Source organism: Homo sapiens, chromosome 6 (genome assembly GCF_000001405.40).
Source record: "Homo sapiens chromosome 6, GRCh38.p14 Primary Assembly".
Lineage (NCBI taxonomy): Eukaryota > Metazoa > Chordata > Mammalia > Primates > Hominidae > Homo > Homo sapiens.
The window spans coordinates 168,019,514-168,032,932 of record NC_000006.12 but is presented as its reverse complement, the minus strand read 5'-3'; the positions used below and the strand labels follow the sequence as shown (position 1 = coordinate 168,032,932).

Here is a 13,419-nt window from a genome sequence, read left to right as displayed (position 1 = left end):
GTCATGATGTTTAAGATGTTCATGGTTGTAAAGGTATGGGTCCACCTGACCTGATGCTAAGTGGGTTCATGCCTCAGAGCAGGATCTCCGGCCCTGACCCCCCGTCCGAGTCATCTGGGGAGATTCAGCAAGTCCTGCACTCAGAAATTCTGACTTAACTGGTCAACTGTGACTCCGGTGTATCAATACCGGTTTAACGTGGTGTACCCACCACAAGTCCAACAAATAAAGCTTGTTGTTTTGACAAAATGATTGCAAGACAGTGTTCTGATTGACATCTAAGTCTCCCCTAGAAAAGGACAGGAAAAGCAGCAGAGCCCAGTCCTGGGGCTGACGGTTTGAGTCACTAGGGTTGACTGTTACATTCCAGCCACAAGAGCCTGGAAACCACAAGCTCCCGCCAAGCTGATCAGGCCTCTGCGTTACCATCCTGTGAGTTTTCCTTCCAGGATTAAAAAGTCTCAAGGCATTCATAACAAAACCCCACTATAGGCTATGTCTCTTCCAGCTTCCCTGAATTCATTTACATGCATTTCTTTGTGTGGAGAATATCTTTGACTACAACAGATAAACGGGTTCTTACAGGAGTCTTTCAACCATTTAAGAATGAACATTAAAAGGAAACTTCCCGGAGAAGGAAGCTGTAAACCAAAAACACAATTCTAAGGCCCCCCAGCCATCTGAATGGACTTCCTCCTTGGCCAGGGCACTCTAAAATTTAACCTCAGAGTCTGGTTCAGGCCATGACGGGAAGTGGGGGCCGGACAGGCCTCACGATACCCTGCAGCCTTAATATCGACACAGATCTTACATCTGATAAGAAACATCTACACTCTGTTCTCTCTGAAGCTGCTACCTAAAGGCTTCCTCTGCAAATGAGAACTTTAGTCTCCATAATCCTTTACCTTAACCCAGACATTCCAGAGCCAATGTATTTTTAAAATGAATTGGATTGAAGTCTCATGTCTCCCTGAAATGTACAAAACCAAGCTGCGCCCGACCACCCTGGGCATGTGCTCTCAGGACCTCCTGGGCTGTGTCATGGGCCACGGTCACTCATATTTGGCTCAGGATAAATCTCTCCCAATATTTTACAGGGTTTGACTCTTTTTGCTGACAAGACTCAGAACTCAAACTAACTCCATCTGTTTCGCATTATCCTGGAAAGGCAGTTCTGGCAGTGATCACTGTGACCACGATGTCTTTTTTATTTCTGGAATCTGCTTACTTAAAAGATGCCTACTTAAAAAGAGACTCCCCTATCATTTTCAAAACCATTTCTTCAGATGGGTATAAAAATCCCAGCCCTCTGGAGGAAGAGTTGAAGCAGCAACTGCATCATGATTGGCGGAGCGGCCCCGCGTGCGTGCGTGGTCAGATGCAGGAGCTTCCTGACTTGACCCTACTCGTTGGATCATGTGCCTTTGGGACGCGCAGCACACTGTGTAATTACAGTTTCTAGGTCCTTGAGGTTCCTTGAGGTTGGCTGTGCAGAAGCCTTTGCTGGACAATGCAAGTAAGTCTTCGTCAGGAACTTTATGTGGACTTCTGCCACAAAACTGAGATTCTTCAAAATGCCCCAGAGTGGAAAGTATTGGCTTAAGGTGTCTCCATTAAGTAAAAAAAAATTCTTCATTCCTAAATTACAGCCCACTGCCTTTGACATCAGTAGTTGTATACTGCAAGAATAGAAGGCTGATTCCCAAAGGGAAAAGTCCCTAAATCTGACATTAACATTCCTTACAGATTTTTTTTAAATTCTGAAATGTTAGAATCCCAGAGAGAATGGCAGCTGCACTCACAGGCTTAAGCCCACATGCACTGTAACTAAAGTGGAGTTTGGAATCCCAGGTGGATATGCTCATTTAACAAGCATTCTCCAAATCATTCTCACTCCTTTTCCCAGGGTGCGGAAATAGTCTCCACGGATGCAAGTGGAGTCCATGCTGGGTGACCCATGGGCATGCTCTGCAGTGCTGTAGAATGCTCAGACTCTAATGCTACATTCTCACTCCACAGCACAGTGAAGCTTCTTTATATTCAAATGTAACTATGATGACTGGCCTTAAAAATATTTTAACTCACCCATCCAAGAGAGAAGTGAGTAGGGGGCACACATCTCCAAAGACCGCGCTCTGAGACTCTGCTGGACCATAAACCCTGAGAGACAAAGTGAAAATGCTGTATTAATAGAAGCAGCAGAAAGCGGCTCTAGCATGCAGACTCAGAAACCTGGGAACACAACGCCCCGTGTACTTCCCATCCCCCCAACGCCATCAGGATTCTTCAACAAAAGATTAATCTGTGTTATTTTTCAAGATAACAGAGGTTAATAAAGAGTAAAGATAGTACTTTCTGCTATGAAAATGTAATAAGCATAAATGAAGTGACAGATGCTTGCAAGAAAGGAAGGAAGGAAGGAAGGGAAGGGGAAGGGAGGGAAGAGCGGGAGGGGAAAGGAGAGGGGAGGGAAGATGAGAGGGGAGGGGAGGGAGGAGGAGGGGGAGGGAGGGAGAGAGAGAGGGACAGAGGGAGGATATAATTATCCCATAACTAAATTAGCTCTACTTTAGAGGGCCCAATAATCACAATGTAAAAATCCCACTCTGAGCAATATTTGATATATAACATTTGATTTTTATGTTCAAGCTCTTAAAAATCTTGTTTTCCTAGGCCCCAGGTCAGTTCAGCAGAACTTGAATTGATATCATGGGACTGGATGTCCACTCTGAAAAGGAAACCTCATGTGGTTCTGGGTCTATAAACAGGTACAAATAAAATAGGAAGCAACGTCCAAAAAATGCCGTTTCCTGCACAATTTGAAAGAAGCCTGGAGCACGGTGAGAGAACAGGCTCCCTGGCAGCTGCCCAGCACTGGTGGTTGGTTGCACTTGGTCAGGTATGCTTTAATGTGAACCTCAGTTTCCTGAACGACAGGTTTTGACTTAGCTGGAACCAAGTTTTTTCCTTCCTTCATTTTCAAGTGTGTCCTGACGCTCAGTTGATCCACTTCGCCTCCAGCAGCGGCATTAATTTGACATGGGGGAGGGGACCCTTATGAGGTGTTCCACATGCATGATGTAGAGGGTGTGGTGAGCACTGTGTGGGAAGATGCTCAGGGCTGAGATCTTTTTTAACTTTTCACTCAGAAAATACACCAAGATACAAAAGTAGAAAGAATAGAAAAGTGAGCCCCATGTGCACATCACCCGGCTCCAGACCCAGGCCTGGCCTGCTTCTCACGCTGAAGCTGACCTGAGGTCCTTGTCATCTGGGAAGGCCAGGACGGCTCCAGACCCAGGCCTGGCCTGCTTCTCACGCTGAAGCTGACCTGAGGTCCATGTCATCTGGGAAGGCCAGGACGGCTCCAGACCCAGGCCTGGCCTGCTTCTCACGCTGAAGCTGACCTGAGGTCCATGTCAGCTGGGAAGGCCAGTATATCTGTAAAGGATCATGACTTGAAAACGTAACAGTATTACCACGACCATGCCTTAACATGAATGTTAGTTATTCTTTAACACCATCCAAAAGTCAGTGTTCGCATTTCCTTAATTGTCTAGTTAAGTTACTTTTTCCAGCTGGTGTTTTAGAAATAATAATTCATCATGGCATCTACATTGCACAGGGTTGCTGCCTTCTAAGTTTCCTAATCTATGGCAAGGGTTGGCAAACTATTTCTGAAAAAACTAGATCGTAAATATTTTAGGTTTTGTGTACATCTTACCTTTAAAGAATACTGGAGTTTTTCCCATAATAGGAGGGAAAAGTCCAAGATGCCAACTACCTGCAATACTCTTTACCTGCAATACTATTTAATATTGCAACGAGCTATGATTGGCTTATGCAGTTGAACAAAAGAAATCAATTAGTGACATAAGAATCAGAAAAGGCAAAACAATCTCTACTTGGAGCTAATATGGCCATACATCTGAGAAATCCAAAATGAAAAGACAAAGAAAATTACTAAATCAGTAAAATAATTTAACAAAACAGCAGGTCATAAAATTAATGTAAAAACATCCATAGCCTCTATATATACAAACAGAGTTAGAAGACATGCTGGGAGATGAGACTCTATCAGTGATAGCAACAAAAATATGCCTGGAAATAAACTTAATAAGAAATGTTCTAATCCTTCATGAAGAAAATGATAAAAAGGCTCCTGAAAATACATGATTAAACTCAAACAAGTGAAAAGTCACGGCATGTTCCTGAATAGAAGAGTCAACTCATGAAGATGCCAGTTTTTCCAAAGTTGGTTTATAAACTTACCTCAATCCCCCCCAAAATACTATATATGCTGTCAGGTTTTTCCTGGAGCTCCAAAGTTTTGTTACAATTTTTTTTGGCAAAATAAAAGAACGAGAATAGAAAGAAGCCCTGGAAAATAGAGGAACTGGGATGGGACGGGCTCAGACACTGGAACCTTCTCTGAGACTCTATCTATGACAGCTTGGTCTTGCTGCGTGAATTAGTAAGTAGGCCGAAGGAAGACAGATACAACTCCATGTGGCAACGGGCTGTCAGATAAAGGGGCATCTCAGGTCAGTGGGGAGAGAGGTGTTTTAATAAGTGGTGTTACAGGCCGGGCACGATGGCTCACGCCTGTAATCCTAGCACTTTGGGAGGCCAAGGTGGACAGATCATTTGAGCCCAAGAGTTTGAGACCAGCCTGGGCAACGGGCAAAACTCCATCTCTATATCCTTTTTTTAAATAAATAAATTTTAAAATATTATTTTTAATTAATATTTTAAAAAATAAGTGGCGTTGCAGTAAATGAATAGATATAAAAAGATAAAATGGGGTCAATTCTTTATAAAATGGACTAGGACACATTCCCAACAGACCACGAGTTTAATGAAAACCACCCGGCCATGCGTGTCCCAGCAGAGTCCACAGGGGGGTTCTTCTGGAACCTGGCAGCCTTTTTACCTACGATCATGTAAACATGTTCGTGTGGCTCAAAGACACCAGAAGCAAACGACAGACTGAGAAAGTAGCGGCGGCTTAAATATTTCTGTTCTATCAAGTGCTCCTAGAGATAGAGAAGGGAAAGGTCAGTCCTTGTAGAGAAGTGAAGAATGCACAGAAAAAAAGATGCGAATGTCAGAAGCACACGAAAAGACTCAACTTCGCTCTGAAGAGACGCGACACAGAGAACCCGTTTCTCACCCACGGACCGGAACAACCCATGCATCTGACCTCGTGCTCCGTGGGGATGTGGAGGGAAGCCGGCCTTGCCCACGCGGCTGTCCGGGGAGGAGGGGCGGTCCCGGTGCCAGTGGGAAGCTGGCCCTGGGACCTGGCACCCCCAGCACCCACCTCCCACAGTCATGTCCAGCCACACCCAAGGCTCCTGTGCTTGGACCCTGTCATTCTCATTCTTTTTCTTCATAACTTTGACCATTTTCCCCCCAACCTGGAATCTCCTTTCCCTTTTTCTTTCTCTCTCTCTCTTTTTTTTTTTTTTTTTTTTTGGAGACAGAGTCTTGCTCTGTCGCCCAGGCTGGAGTGCAATGGCCCAATCTCAGCTCACTGCAACCTCTGTCTCCTTGGTTCAATCGATTCTCCCTGCCTCAGCCTCTCAAGTAGCTGGGACTACAGGTGTGTGCCACCACGTCCAGCTAATTTTTTGTATTTTAGTGGAGACGGGATTTCACCATGTTGCCCAGGGTGGTCTCGAACTCCTGAGTTCAGGCAATCTGCCCGCCTCTGCCTCCCAAAGTGCTAGGATTACAGGCGTGAGCCACCACCCCCGGCCACCTTTCCCTTTTTCTATGCCTGGTTAACTCCTGGTTAGCTGAGCTGTCAAGCCCCAGGTCGAGGGCCTCCCCCATCTCTGCCTCCTGCCCCACTGCTGTGTTGGTGGCTTCTGAGCTCAGCGCAGCCTCCTGGGAACGGTCCCTACAGCTCTAGGTCTTGGTGGCAAAAATGCTGCCTTCCTCTCACCTACATCCCTTGTGTCTAACAGGGTGCCTGGCACATAATAGGTGCTCAGAAAAATGCTTGAACTTGAACGACTATAGAAATTTCACACAAATGTGTCAGTTAGGAATATCACATTGTAAATTCCTGTTCTACAAGAATACAGCCAGCAGTCCTTCAGCTTCCTGATAAATGAATTCTTCTCAAAACAATGAACATGACTTATTCTTTTTCTCCTTGCATTTTGGATCAGTGGCATTACTTTTGGTTTGCCTTTTTTAAATAATATTTTTATTTCACTTAGAAAATAACCTTCTTCTTACCCTGGACCTATTAATATTTTTTCTGAATAGTAAAATTGAACTTTCCCCCTCATACAAATTTATTTTTAAAATAAGTTAAGGGCTGAAAGTGTTGGAATTTTTTTTAGAATGGAAATAAAATATTTTGACATTCGTTAGTTCCATAAAAAGCTGTTATAAAAACCAACAATGTTCTGATTTCATAAGAACCATATGCTCCACTGTTTATAAAAACACGGTGATCCTGAATGCTAAACAATATTACCCCAGAATGAATTCTTGCAGAGATTTATATTTAAAGTCTCCCCTAACTCTATAGATAGACAGCAAGTTGCACAAATTCTTCCATTTTTCTGTTCACTTCTAACAGCACAATTTTGATGTTTCCCTTCGACCCTCAGCGTATTCATATTGAGACAGGGCCCTCTGAGAAGACACGTGTCGGCATGAACTGTGCTGCTCCACTTCCTTCTTCCCCAAAACAAGGTCACACGATCCCCGAGGGTGGTTTCCCCACCACAGTGCCCTTGCCTGTGCTTCTCCACTGACCTGAGCAGCAGCCTGGTGTAACCCAAAGACTGAGACCTTCTGCCCAAATCCAACGCTTACTAAAAGCCATCGTTTAACTAGACTGGGCGGTGGTGCCCCCCGCAGCTTCCTCTTCAGGTCCTCCTGGGACGACCAACGGCCTGAAAGTACTTGGAGACTGCCAAGGGCTACGTGTAGGTGACGTATGTAACTAAACTCCACCCAGCTCAAGCTCTAGCCACTCTGTGACTCTCTTGCCCACAGGAATTTCTCTGTCACTCAGTACTCGGCCGCACACTCTGTGGGACTCTGGCTGCTTTGCGGTGATGACCGATACCCACAGCCTGTGTGTAAGCCGCGTGGGGAAAGGATCATACTTTAAACTTTTTATTCCTAATCCGACCCTACTTTATTCCTTCTCAGCAGCTCTGTGCTAAGCACCCGAAGGTGCGCATTGAATCCTTCAGCACTTTAACCGAAGGGTGCATTTGGCTCTAAACATTCAGCCCAATCCTTTATCAATAGGCCACGTGCTTCCTTAAGCTGGCGCTGTTTACTTCCCAAGTCAAGTCTAGGGTGTGTAACAGTAAACTGCAAGGATTGGAGGTGGGGTCGGGAGGAAGGAAAAAGCTTTTACCACAATGTATCTACCACCGACACCAGCTGACACGGTTCAGCCATCATCCAGCAAGCCACGATTTTAAACACAATTTAAATGAAATGCTCATTTATTGGGATGCAAGGTAAGACCTTGTCCCCAGCCCCGCGGGGCTCGTGTTCCAGTTGGGAAGACGATAGTAGAAGCAGATACTATAATGTGCCAAACACTATTCCAAGAGATGAAGCAGGAGCGGGAAATGAGAAGTTGGAGCAGCGGCCTCCAACCGAGGGACACAGGGAAACTGAGAAGAATTCATCACGAAGGAGACATTCCCCAGCCACACCCCCAGGTCCTTCATCAGTGAGCGTCCCCGCGTCTCTGATGAGTCTCTGTCCTTTGTTGGGATGCCTGTCCCACCTAAACCTCCAGAGCTGAGTCCAGGCTCAAGGCCTCTTCCCCAGAGGTGCTTCCCTCATTAACCCTGTTCCATTCCAAACATTCCTTTCTTTCTTTTTCGTTTTTTTGAAGACAGAATCTCACTCTGTCGTCCAGACTGGAGTGCAGTGGCACATTCTCGGCTCACTGCAACCTCTGCCTCCCGGGTTCATGCGATTCTCCTGCCTCAGCCTCCCGAGTAGCTGGGACTATAGGCGTGTGCCACCACGCCCAGCTAATTTTTGTATTTTTAGTAGAGATGAGGTTTCACCATGTTGACCAGGCTGGTCTCGAACTCCTGACCTCAGGTGATCCACCCACCTAGACCTCCCAAAGTGCTGGGATTACAGGCGTGAGCCACCGTGCCCAGCCAGCCAGGCTGGTCTTGAACTCCTGACCTCAGATGATCCACCCGCCTTGGCCTCCCAAGGTGCTGAGATTACAGGTGTGAGCCACCGTGCCCGGCCCCGAACATTCCTTTCTTCTCCATCCTTGGCCAATTATGTCACCTATTTTGATTGCTTCACCTTATTCTGCCAACGTTGATATTACTTATCATTGTAAAGATCTCCCAAGCCTCCCATCCCAAGCCTAGTTCTCAACTAGGGTATAAACTCCTGGAAGGAGTCAGGCCAACCCCATTTCCCTCCTTACCTAGCCCAACACCAGATTACTCTGAAGCACAGTAAAAAAAAAAAAAAAAAAAAAAAAAAAAAAGAGAGAGGTTTTTACTAAGATTATTCCCCTGCATAATTGAGTCATCAAAAGAGGACAAAATCAATAGTGGAAGAAAGGTCAGCCCAGTGAAGGATTGTAAAAAAAACTGTGTGTCACGAGGAAGCAAAGTTCCACAAGTGTTTGCATAAACAAACATGATGAAGCTAAGCCATGGGGCTATTACTCCAAAGTGCTCATAAATTTGCTTCTTTTCTACACTGATAAAAAGTATCATTTTTCTCTATACTGTTTTTAGTGCACAGACATGAGAAAAAGCTTTTGCACGTGAAGACTGGCTTTGCTCTTACAAATTAAATCCATTGAACCACCAGCACCGTGTATGGAAGTTTCTTCAGGAAGCTACTTTATTACATGTGAAACTGATGAAAATTTTCTTGAGTATTCATAGTGAGATTTTTAAATATGATTATTTTAGGGGAAAAAAATCAAGTTATTTGGTTTTAGATATACAAATAAAATGTTTTTCAGTAAATAATAAAAATGCATGAGACTATACAGATTCTAATATTATTGCAATCCTTGAGTAGTAAAACACATTCTGCAAAGTGCACTGTCTCTGAAGCACCAGATCGCGACACATGGTGGCTAAGATACAACTCCCTTTCTCTCCCCTAACCAACATGTAAGTAATGCAGATAAAATAGAAACAAAATATGTTTTAAAATATGCTGCTGACGTTGAAGGGAAGAAAGAAAGGAAACTGGCTGGGCACGGTGGCTCACGCCTTTAATCCTAGCCCTTGGGAGGCTGAGGCGGATGGATTACTTGAGTTCAGGAGTTCAAGACCAGCCTGGCCAACATGGTGAAACCCGGTCTCTATTAGAAATACAAATATTAGCCAGCATGGTGGCTCACGCCTGTAATCTCAGCACTTTGGGAGACCAAGGTGGGCCGATCACTTGAGGTCAGGAGTTCAAGACCTGCTGGGCCAACATGGTGAAACCCTGTCTCTACTAAAAATACAAAAATTAGCCGGATGTGATGGTGCATGCCTGAAGTCTCAGCTACTTGGGAGGCTGAGGCAGGAGAATCGCTCGAACCCAGAAGGTGGAGCTTGCAGTGAGCTGAGATTGTGCCACTGTACTCCAGCCTCGGCAACAGAACAAGACTCCTCAAAAAAAAAAAAAAAAAAAGGAAGAAGGAAACTTCCTAGGTGCAAGAAATGAAGAGTGGAAAAAGGCTGGGTAGAAGGCTTGAGTTGGTACTGCAAGCACCCAGGCTGAGGAACCAATCCAGACAGAAGCAACAGGGCTTACAAGGCAGGGTTTTCTGCCCTCTGGAGACAGCAGGCAGGACATGGAGGTGCCATGGCTGTGCAAGTCCAGGGCACTCAAAGATAGGCCTAGTCCCTGAAAAGGGGGTCCAGATAAGTGGTAAGAAAGTATTCCACGTGCCTGAGAGTCTAGATGAGGAGTCAGGTCTCCTGTGAGCAATCAAAGCCTCACACCTGCACCGCAAGTGAGCACAGAATCCAAATGCAAGGAGCCCACAGGGCAGAGAAATCACAAACCACAAACGTTACCTGAAAACTGATTCAGAACTTTTGTGAAACCCCAGGCCCTTGCAGGAAAAATCATAGTTGCAAACCCACAGCCAAGAGTACACAAGTCTCCTACCAAAAAAAAAAAAAAAAACAACAACAACAAACAATCAAAAAAACTCCTCACCAAAGATAAGTTCGCAGTAAAAACTTATAAAACACAAAATAAATAAATCACTACAGTCAGTGGCAACAAAGATACAAGTAATACAGCAGCCGCCACAAGAACCAGACACAATAGAACATTCTGAAAGAGACTTAAGAAAACAATGTTAAACATGAATAAAGTCATGCCTGTAATCCTAGCTACTCGGGAGGCTGAGGTGGGACAATCACTTGAGGCCAAGAGTTCAAGGCTGCAGAGAGCTATGATTGCAGCACTGCACTCCAGCCTGGGTGATAGAGTGAGAGTCTGTCACTAAAAAATAAAAAATAAATCAGTAAAGATACAAAATAAGGAACACAAAACATAAGGAAAATGGAAGACTATTTTTAAAAGGGTAAGAAGATTTAAAAATGAGCCAAATAATTTACAAGCACGAAAAACAGATGGGTTAAATGGAAGTTTACCCATGGATGAAGAGAGAATAAGTGAATTAATTAAAAGATTGTCACAGGAAAATTACCCAGAATGCAGCAGAGAGATACAAGGAAGGCGATCATCTCAAAAGCGGGTAATGGTAGAGACACAGATGGTAGAATGAAAAGGTCTAATCTATATCTAATAGGAATTTCATTAAAAGGATATAGATAGAAGGAGAGAAAGTACTTTTAAAAAGATTTTGCCTGATAATTGTTCAACTTAAAGAATGACATTAATTCAAAGATTAAAAGTCCCAAGCAGTATTATAAAATAAAATAAAACAAACAAAAAACTCAGCAACTGCCGAGTGAAACAGTGCAGCTTCACTTTGATTTGGAACACTGAAGTCAGAGAGAAAACTCTTAAAAGCATCTAGAGAAAAAATTGATAACGTTGAACTTTACCCATGCTCTGAGATCCTGAACGACCGCAAAGGCTAAGAAATCCCAGCACTATCTGTAATTTCCAGAATGGCTTATTGCAAAGAACATCCCTTCCCTACCAGACTTCGATAAAATGCACAGATGCCTTAGATAAGACTTCTCAGACAGAAAATGGAACAGTGGCTACCAGCAGCTGAGGGAGGGGAGACAGGCAATTCAGTGTTTAATGGGTTTGGAGTTTCAGGATTGGATGACAAAAAACACTGTGAAGATGGATAGTGGTGATGGTTGCACCAGATCATACTTTGTCCCATTGAACTGTATACTTAAAAATGGCTAAAATGGTAAACTTTTATGTCAGGTATATTTTTCTACAATTATAAATTTTATATATAAAAGCACATGAATTGTATAAACAGAAATAGGTTAGCACAGTATGTAAACTCGTGCGTCATTTGAAGCAGAGAGAAAGGGGAAAACTTCACCATGATCTGTCTTCGAGGGAGCTTCTCCTCTGAAGCAGCGGAAGCTGGGGAGGCAGGGTCGGTTCTTGCTGCTTCTTTTGATGACTTTGATGTTGGGACAGATATTTTATAGAAAATGGGTTTCTCCTGCTCTTCCAGAAAAATTCTCTTAACAACATGGAAGGTAGATATCTCAGAATACTATAAATTAAGAGGACAGCCCCCACCATTAAAAGAGTAAAACTATTAAAGTCAGCTGCCTGCATCTGTGTGGGTTTATTTCTGAACTCTTCTCCGTTCCATTGATGATGTGTCTGTTGGTTTGCCTCTATCACGCTGTCTTAATGATTTTAAGTCTTTAAATCGGGTAGTGTGAGTCCTCCAACTCTGTCCTTTTCCCAAGTTGTTTCGGCTATTATAGTTCCTTCACCTTTCCATATAAATTTTATCATCAGCTTTTTCGTTTCTACAAAACATCCTGCTATGATTTGGGTTGCCATTGTATTGACCGCCTTTATTTGTTTTTAAAATAGCTTTATTGAGATATAGAACAGCTTTCCTCTGATTAATGTTAGCATTCAGGTAAATATATCTTTTCCATCCCTTTCCTTTTTCCATCTTTTAAATCCTCTTTCCCTTTTTCCTGACATTTATTTTTGATTGAGGATTTTTTATAATTCCATGTATCTTTTTTTGTTAGCTTATTGTATATATCTCTAGCTTGTTATTGTCTTTGGTGGTTGTTTTAGGGTTTACCATATGTAACTTAGAGGCTGCCTGCAATCGGATTCTATCGCCTAACATACCAAATAAGGACCATACGAAAGTACACTTGCACGCCCACTCCCAGCCTTCACACTGTTGCTCACGTGCATTTTATGTCTGCATGTGTCATGAGCTCCACAATCCATTGTTATTTTTCTTTAATCAGTTAACTAGATTTGGAAGAGTTTTTTTTTTTTAATAAGAAAAAGCGTCTTTTGCATATGCCCACATGTCCTTCAGGACAGAATCCGTTGTACACTCCTTGTGGTGTGTCTCTGGCGATTAATTCTCTCAGCTTTCCCATGTCTGGAAATGTCTTTGTATTTGAAAGACATTTTCACTGGCACAGAACTCTGGATGGACTGTTTCTCTTTCCGTACTTTAGAGGTGCTGGTCCTGTATCTTTTGATTTGCATTGCTCTGTGGAGAAGCCTAAGGTCATTTTCATGTCTGACCCTGAGTCTTCAACGTGTCTTTTCACTCTGGTCATTTTATCTCTGGTGTTTCTCTGTTTGTTTGTTTGTTTGTTTGTTTGTTTGAGATGGAGTCTCACTCTGTCACCAGGCTGGAGTGCAGTGGCACAATCTCAGCTCACTGCAACCTCCACATCTTGAGTTCAAGCGATTCTCCTGCCTCAGCCTCCCAAGCAGCGGGATTACAGGTGTGCACCACCATACCCAGCTAATTTTTGTATTTTTGGTAGAGACAGGGTTTCACCATTTGGCCAGGATGGTCTCGATCTCTTGACCTCGTGAGCCACCCGCCTTGGCCTCCCAAAGTGCTGGGATTACAGGCGTGAGCCACCGCGCCCCACCTCCGGCCGACTTCTTCAAATGTTCTCTGAGCGCCCACTCCCGTCACCTTTTGGGACTGCAACTCCCGCTGTATTTGGCTTCTTGGAAGCCAATACATCATGGTCCCATGGCGCCATGATGCTCTGTTCACTTCCTTTTTAATTGTGGTAAAAAAATACATATAACAAAATTGACATTTTCACCATTTCAAGTGTGCCGTCCAGGGGCCTCAAGCTCATTCGCACTGTGGGGCTTGCGTCAGCCCAGCCGTCCCCGGAGCCCACTCTGTCCACTCGCTATGGAGTCTCCCTGGTTTCACGTTGGTCATTTCTGTTGCTGCGGCCTCAAGCTCACCCGTCT

The 13,419-nt window shown here is 44.0% G+C and overlaps 1 protein-coding gene across 4 annotated transcripts in view, besides 2 other annotated features; it reads right to left on the bottom strand.

Moving 5' to 3' along the window:
• Positions 1-13,419, bottom strand: part of KIF25 (kinesin family member 25) — a 47,421-nt gene that overhangs the window by 12,159 nt on the left and 21,843 nt on the right. For all 4 annotated transcript variants that reach the window (NM_030615.4, NM_005355.5, XM_047418749.1 and 1 more), the window contains 2 exons: positions 3,256-3,441; positions 2,086-2,160 (listed from right to left, as the gene is read on the bottom strand). In NM_030615.4, coding sequence (NP_085118.2) covers positions 2,086-2,160; positions 3,256-3,347 — 167 coding nt within the window. In that variant the 5' untranslated portion in view covers positions 3,348-3,441. The remainder of the gene's footprint in view (positions 1-2,085; positions 2,161-3,255; positions 3,442-13,419) is intronic.
• Positions 3,311-3,492: a silencer, noted in NCBI's record as "fragment chr6:168430121-168430302 (GRCh37/hg19 assembly coordinates)". NCBI's record gives its function as "represses an EF-1alpha promoter that drives an FKBP-Casp9 reporter gene in an ReSE screen in HepG2 liver carcinoma cells {active_cell/tissue: HepG2}" and the evidence as "EXISTENCE:reporter gene assay evidence [ECO:0000049][PMID:32094911]".
• Positions 7,396-7,574: a silencer, noted in NCBI's record as "fragment chr6:168426039-168426217 (GRCh37/hg19 assembly coordinates)". NCBI's record gives its function as "represses an EF-1alpha promoter that drives an FKBP-Casp9 reporter gene in an ReSE screen in K562 erythroleukemia cells {active_cell/tissue: K562}" and the evidence as "EXISTENCE:reporter gene assay evidence [ECO:0000049][PMID:32094911]".